The 6,433-nt window shown below is 36.0% G+C and overlaps 1 annotated feature.

Annotated features, from left to right (window-relative positions):
• Positions 969-1,949: an enhancer, noted in NCBI's record as "NANOG-H3K27ac hESC enhancer chr12:126717441-126718421 (GRCh37/hg19 assembly coordinates)". NCBI's record gives its function as "activates a minimal SCP1, AML or CMV promoter by ChIP-STARR-seq in naive H9 embryonic stem cells {active_cell/tissue: H9 hESC(naive)}" and the evidence as "EXISTENCE:reporter gene assay evidence [ECO:0000049][PMID:30033119]".

Genomic DNA, 6,433 nt, shown 5'->3' on the forward strand with positions numbered 1-6,433 from the left:
CTAAGGGAGATAGAGAGAATAAGAGAGCCCCAAGACAGAAGTCACAGTCTTTTATAACGTAATCTCAGAGGTGACAGACAACCACTTGTGCTGTATGATACTGATCACAGACGAACTATGGTCTAATATGGAAGGATTTATATTTGGGTGTGTCTACCAGAAGGCTGGGATCACTGGGGGCCAACTGAGGGCATACGTGAGGCTAGCTAGACCTCACAGGGATCTCTGCCTAATTACTACTTTCGACATGAACATGTAATGTAGCAGCATTAGTGGAAGGATGGTGCTTCAAGCTTGGGTAACACATTGCTGACTGCAGCTCAAATAGGGCCAGACCTCCTTTTATACTTGGTAAAATATCAACTCTATCTTGGCTCAAACCACCAGAGATTGTAGGAGCACACATACTCAATAACATTCTACTTTCTATCATGTTTGTTCTTCCAGTGTCTTGTTGACCTGCTGAAAATATATTTTTAAAATTAAACTAAATACATGATTCTTTCTCTGGCACAACCCACCTCTTTCTTGGACAGAATTCTAGACCCAGAATGTCAAATGTCTCCTTGGTAAAGACATTTGGGATTGGAAGAAGAGCAGAAGCTAGACATGGTACAGATGGTGATATTATCTTTGTTCTAATTTGATTGAATGATTTATTTGTAAATACCTTTAAACAGACAATGAGTCTATGAGTATCAGGAGCTGTGTCAACCTCATATTTCTAGTGTCTAGTACAGAGCCTGGTACATCCTTACAAGATACTCAGTTACCATTGGTGAATTAAGAACTCTCTGTTTTTCACAATGTCCTAGTACAGATATATCAGTCATCGTTGATGCTTTATGGCCTGCAGCACACTGAATTTGGCTGTTGTTCCACTATCTCCTTTTATATAGCAGTCAATTGCCCTGAGCATGGCTCAGAATATATTGCTCATTAAAGTGAGTTCCAGACACGACTGCAAGGGCATTAGCCTGATGCTCCAAAGTAGCAGAAAGTCTCCAGGGCATCATGTAATTATTCATTTGCTAAATAACACAGACACACAATGGCTTAATTACAGTATTTTGCTGTGAAATAGAATTGTAGTGATTTCCACATCAGAGTATCTCATTAATGAGATTTGCTAAGTGTTATTGGCAATATCGTGAAATGCCCTTTTGTTTTAAATCATTTTCTAAATTGCTAATGTCATTTGTGGGACAGAAAATTTCCCAAACTCTCTTGTGGAGGTGAAATGTTAGTGCTTCAGAAAATTCTCACTGTTAATTTCTTCCCAGGTGGCAAGACTTGAGAGTGTGTAAAAACTGCATTTTTGACATCTCAGTGTATCTCCACATCATCAGCATTCAAGTTATTACCAAGCATCAAGAATACAAATATTGGATTTTTCACCAAGAGCCTACAAACCTGAATACGCAAATGGTTGAGTGCCCCATTTTGTATCTGAGCTCTGCCACAAGTCATCTACATGACCCTGGTCAAATGCTTTGCTGGGCCCCAGTCTCCTCAAGGGAAACATATCTAGGTTCATTTGTGGATTCAACAAATATTTGCATAAGGGTCCCAGGCTCTTTCCTAGGCACTAGGAATAGAGCTGCAAACAGGACTAGACAGAGCTCCTGATTAACAGCGGCTTATCTTCTAGCAGCAGAGACAGACAAGAAGCTTGTAACTGAGTGTGTGCCTAAAATATTCCAAGCTAAGTATAATTTTTTTTTGTAGGTAAAGGAAATTGGGTAATTTAATTAAGAAATCCTCAAGAATGCCTCCTACAAGGAGGATGGCCAGGGAAAGCTTCTCAAGGAGGGTGACCTATTAGCAGAAATTTGAATAATAAGAAAGAGTCAGCTTCAGAAATTTGGGAAGAGCATTCCAGGCAGAGGGAATGACTAAGACAGAACCCTGGGGTGGGAGCCTATTGTTCTCACAAAGTGTCGTCTAGCAATAAAATTCAGTGATTTCGACATGAGAAATTTCAAAGTTATGTATTGTTTCTCCCAGAAGGTCAGTCACATCATAGGTTATCCAATTCTCATGGGTTTTATTTTCTTGTCTTAATCTAGGATGAGCTTTCCTCCTAAACGCTTCCTCCTTGATTAACTGCACCTTATCTGACAAAGTCCCACCCCTCTGTTACTTAGTGCAACCAGCTGGTTGACAATAGTAAAACAAGAAAATCCTTCCAACCAAAGGAATCTTCTTGTAGATCCTTGTTTCTTGCCTTCCTCTTAATGACCAGTAATGACCAAGAAAATGGATGGAATTTAAAGGATATAATTTACTTAATAGCTTTAGTCAGGCCTGAATATGAAATATGCCAGAACATAGAATCTCGTCTCCATCGTTTCAGACCTTGTTGCCCATTGAGGCGCTCCTTCTGCTTGCTAGTCCGTGTTCCATGAAACTGTGCAGGCACCACCAGGGCAACAAGTGGCTCACCCCATTGATGCATCCAGGCCAGTGCCCTCCTGGTCTTTGGAAGACGTCAGAAGAATGTGTGGAACATGCGTGTACACATTAAAAAGGGCTATTCCTTCTCTTGGTTGAGCATCTATCTAACCCAATCTAATCTATCAAGCAACAAAGTGCTCAGCCTTCTAACCTTGGGTACGTTGTTGGTTGGTTGGTTAATTGATTCATTTATTTATTTACATATTCACACATATTTTTATTTTTAGTTCCTATTGCCTGAGGGTCTACTATGTGCCTTTTTCCTTCATACAAAAAAGTGGGCATATGATCAACCTTCGTCATACATGATACTATGATAACATTATTATATCCATGCTCTATATTCAGAACTTTGTATGTCTGGTTTATAGTTATTATTCATGCCTCCCCTCAAATACCTTCTACGCAGAAATGCACTGGGAATGGCCCCAACAACACGTACACATGGTTACGTTTTCGTACAATTAGCAAAAGTAAGACAATTTAATGTCAGCTGTTTGAGATCTCTGTTTCTTTCCACTTCCACTTTCTCCTCTGTCACATTTGACCTCATGCTGAGTGGTCCTGAAGTGGCTGTGATAATTTAGGGAAACTGACCAAGGGGAAGCTAAGTCAGATAACTATTTAATTTGGGTTTAGTGAGATATAATTAGTCATGCATTGCATAACAACATTTCAGTCAATGATGGTTGGAAACATGAGAGAAAAGAAAGGAGCAGGTGACCTGAAATAGGAATGAAGGATGTTATGAGATTTGCTCGTCGTGTGATTAGTCAACATTCTTACTATTGTAAAACATTAATTTGCTGAATTAAAGACAACCTGACCATAAATTTGGATATCTTTGTTGTTGTTTCTTGTTCTTATCGTGTGTGTTGCTGAAGAGGTAAAACCAGATGTGCAGATATGAGGTGGAAGCTGTGCAATCTTCCTTCGACTATTCAGGAAAACCACTGACTATTTAAGCTTAATAAAGTCAAATTTCTGATAAATGTGTTTATTATCAACTTCCATAAAAGTAAATGTGTTTAATTGTTTCAATATAAAAAAGGGAAATTTGAGTTAAAACCATCCAACACATTCACACTATTTGTGATCTGTGAATTAAGGGCATAAAGCAACTAGCTTGATAATCCCTTGACAGACTAATAAATGAGAATAATATTTTTACAATGGAAAATTGGTATAATTACAAAGCTATTAACTTTTTCTCATACTCCCCCATTATATTATAAGTAAGCCACAGGGAACTTTCCTTGAAAATAAATTTTCAAATTAACCTTTTGGTTTAAAAACTATCTAATTTAATCATTTTGTTAAGTCGAAGTACATGACTGTGAATATTTGGAAGCCTGGTTCCTGTATTTTGTGTTTTTTTTTTTTTATTCTTTCCTCCCACTGTGTTTTTGGGAGATCCAGAGGCATGCAAGCATTCAGGACCCAGCATGTGCTGAACACCGTGCCTACTGCTAAACAGTATTTTGGTCTGCATGGCACTCCAATGAGGTAGGTAGTAATTATTAGTCTCATTTTACAGACGATAAAACTGAGGCACTAAAAGTTGATGTTACTGATAGCCTTGGGGTTTTGTTTTGTTTTGAGATGGAGTTTCATTCTTGTGGCCTAGGTTGGAGTGCAATGGCATGATCTCAGCTCACTGCAACCTCCGCCTCCCGGGTTCAAGTGATTCTCCTGCCTCAGCCTCCTGAGTAGCTGGGATTACAGGCATGCGCCACCATGCTCGGTTAATTTTCTGTTTTTAGTAGAGATGGAGTTTTGTCATCTTGGTCAGGCTGATCTTGAACTCCTGACCTCAGGTGATCCACTCGCCTCAGCCTCCCAAAGTGCTGGGATTACTGGCGTGAGCCACCATGCCCGGCCTAGCCTTGGGGTTTTAATCCATGTTCTGGCTTAATAAAAAGAATTGAAAACTCTTCCCTTCTATTTTCTGAAATATATTATCTAGAATAAGCCATGTTTACCTCTGAAATGTCTGGCAAAATATGTCAATGAAACTATCTGGCCCTGAAGTTTTCTTTGTTGGAAGGTTTTTAACCACAAATTTAATTTTATACACAAATGCACACACACATGTATGTGTGTTTGCAGGTATGTATGAATTCAGGTTATCTGTTTCTTCTTCAATATATTTTGATAGTTTGTGTTTCTCAAAATAATTAGTTTATTTCATTGAAGTTATTGAATTTATGGACATAAAATTGTTTTTAGTATCTCTTATTATCCCTTTAATGTTTGTAATATTGCTAATGATGTCTCCTCTTTCATTGCCAATTCTGGTAGCTTGTGTATTCTTTTTCTTTTTTTCTGGGTCTATCCAGCTATGAGTTCATCAATACATATTTTTACCTCTCTCTCTCCCTTTCTCCCACATTCCCTCTCTCCTTCCATTCCTTCTTGCCTGTAGAAAAGAGAACATACTTTGCAACCTTAAACAATTATAAACAATTTTAAGTTTTTTAGATTTATTCAGTTGCAAGTGACAGTAATACAAATTAGAGGTTTTTGATCAGAAAAGGAAATGTATTCACTCATGAAATGAAAAATCTCTGTTCAAGAATCAGATTTGATTCATTGGTTTTTATCTATTTTTTCAATATTATTGAATATCATTTCTCTTTGATTTATCTTCTGGGCTTAATTTGCTTTTCTAGTTCCCATTTTCTAAGGTGGAAGCTTAGATAGTTAAAAATATAATACAAGCATTTAATGCCACAAATTTCCTTTAAACTCTGATTTAGCTGAATCCTATACGTTTTGATTTTTTTTCCAAAAGCATTTTCATTTAGATTCAGTTAAAAATATTTTTAAAGCCTTTTTTTCATTTAGATTCAGTTAAAAAATATTTTAAAAGCCTTCTATCAAATTTGGCCCATAAGTTACTTAGAAGTGAGATGTTTAATTTCCAAATATTTAGTGGGTTTTCAGATCTATTTCTAGTTTAATTCTGTTATAATCCATGTACATAGTTAGTATTCTTACTTATATTATCTTAAACTTGCTAAGATTATTTCTGTGGCTCAGAACAAATGGTCCAGCTTGGTGGATGCCCCATGAGTTCTTGATCAGAATGTGTATATATTATTTGTTAGATGAGGTGTTCTATAAATGTCAATTAGGTCATTGCTAGTTTATAGTTTTGTTCAGATTTCCTTTGTCCTTACTTACTGTCTGTATATTTGTTCTATTAATTATTGAGAGAGGAGCACTAAAATATCAAGTTATTATTTTGGATTTGGATTTGTCAATTTTTTTTTTGTTCTTACTAGTTTTTGTTTCATGCATTTTTAAGATCACACACATTCAGAACGGTCATTTCTTGGATTATTGACTCCTTTGTCACTATGTAATGCTTTTTTATCCCCTGCAATATAGTTACATTGCCTGATGTTAATATTAATACATCTACTCCAACTTTCTTTTGGTTAATGTTTCCATTACATATCTTTTCCCCACCACGTACAAGTTACTTTTAACCTATCTATGTCTTTATTTTTTAATGGCTTTATTTTAAACAATATATAATTAGGTACTTTGTAAACCCAATTTGACAACCTTTGCCTTTTAACTGGTATGTTTAGGCCATGCACATTTAATGTGATTATATGCATTATTTGATTAAAATATACCATCTTGTTAGGTTTGTTTTCATTCATTTTTTTGGCTCACAGAGAAAATTTTTATGATTTCATTTTGTCTCTTTTATTGATTTATTATTTAACCTCTTTAAATATTTTAATGATTTCCCTAAGTCTTATAATATACATCTAGAATTACCAGAGTGTACTTCCAAATAATATTATACCTTTCACGTGTAAGATAAATTCCTTATAACAATATATTCCCAATAATTTCCTATAATTCTCTATGCTTTTGTTTACATATTTGTTACTTTTACAAGTGATCTCAATACACGTCCTCAGCCCTGTTAAATGAGACTTCCTTAGAACTCTCTCTA

The sequence above is a fragment of the Homo sapiens genome, chromosome 12 (genome assembly GCF_000001405.40).
Source record: "Homo sapiens chromosome 12, GRCh38.p14 Primary Assembly".
Taxonomy (NCBI): Eukaryota; Metazoa; Chordata; class Mammalia; order Primates; family Hominidae; genus Homo; species Homo sapiens.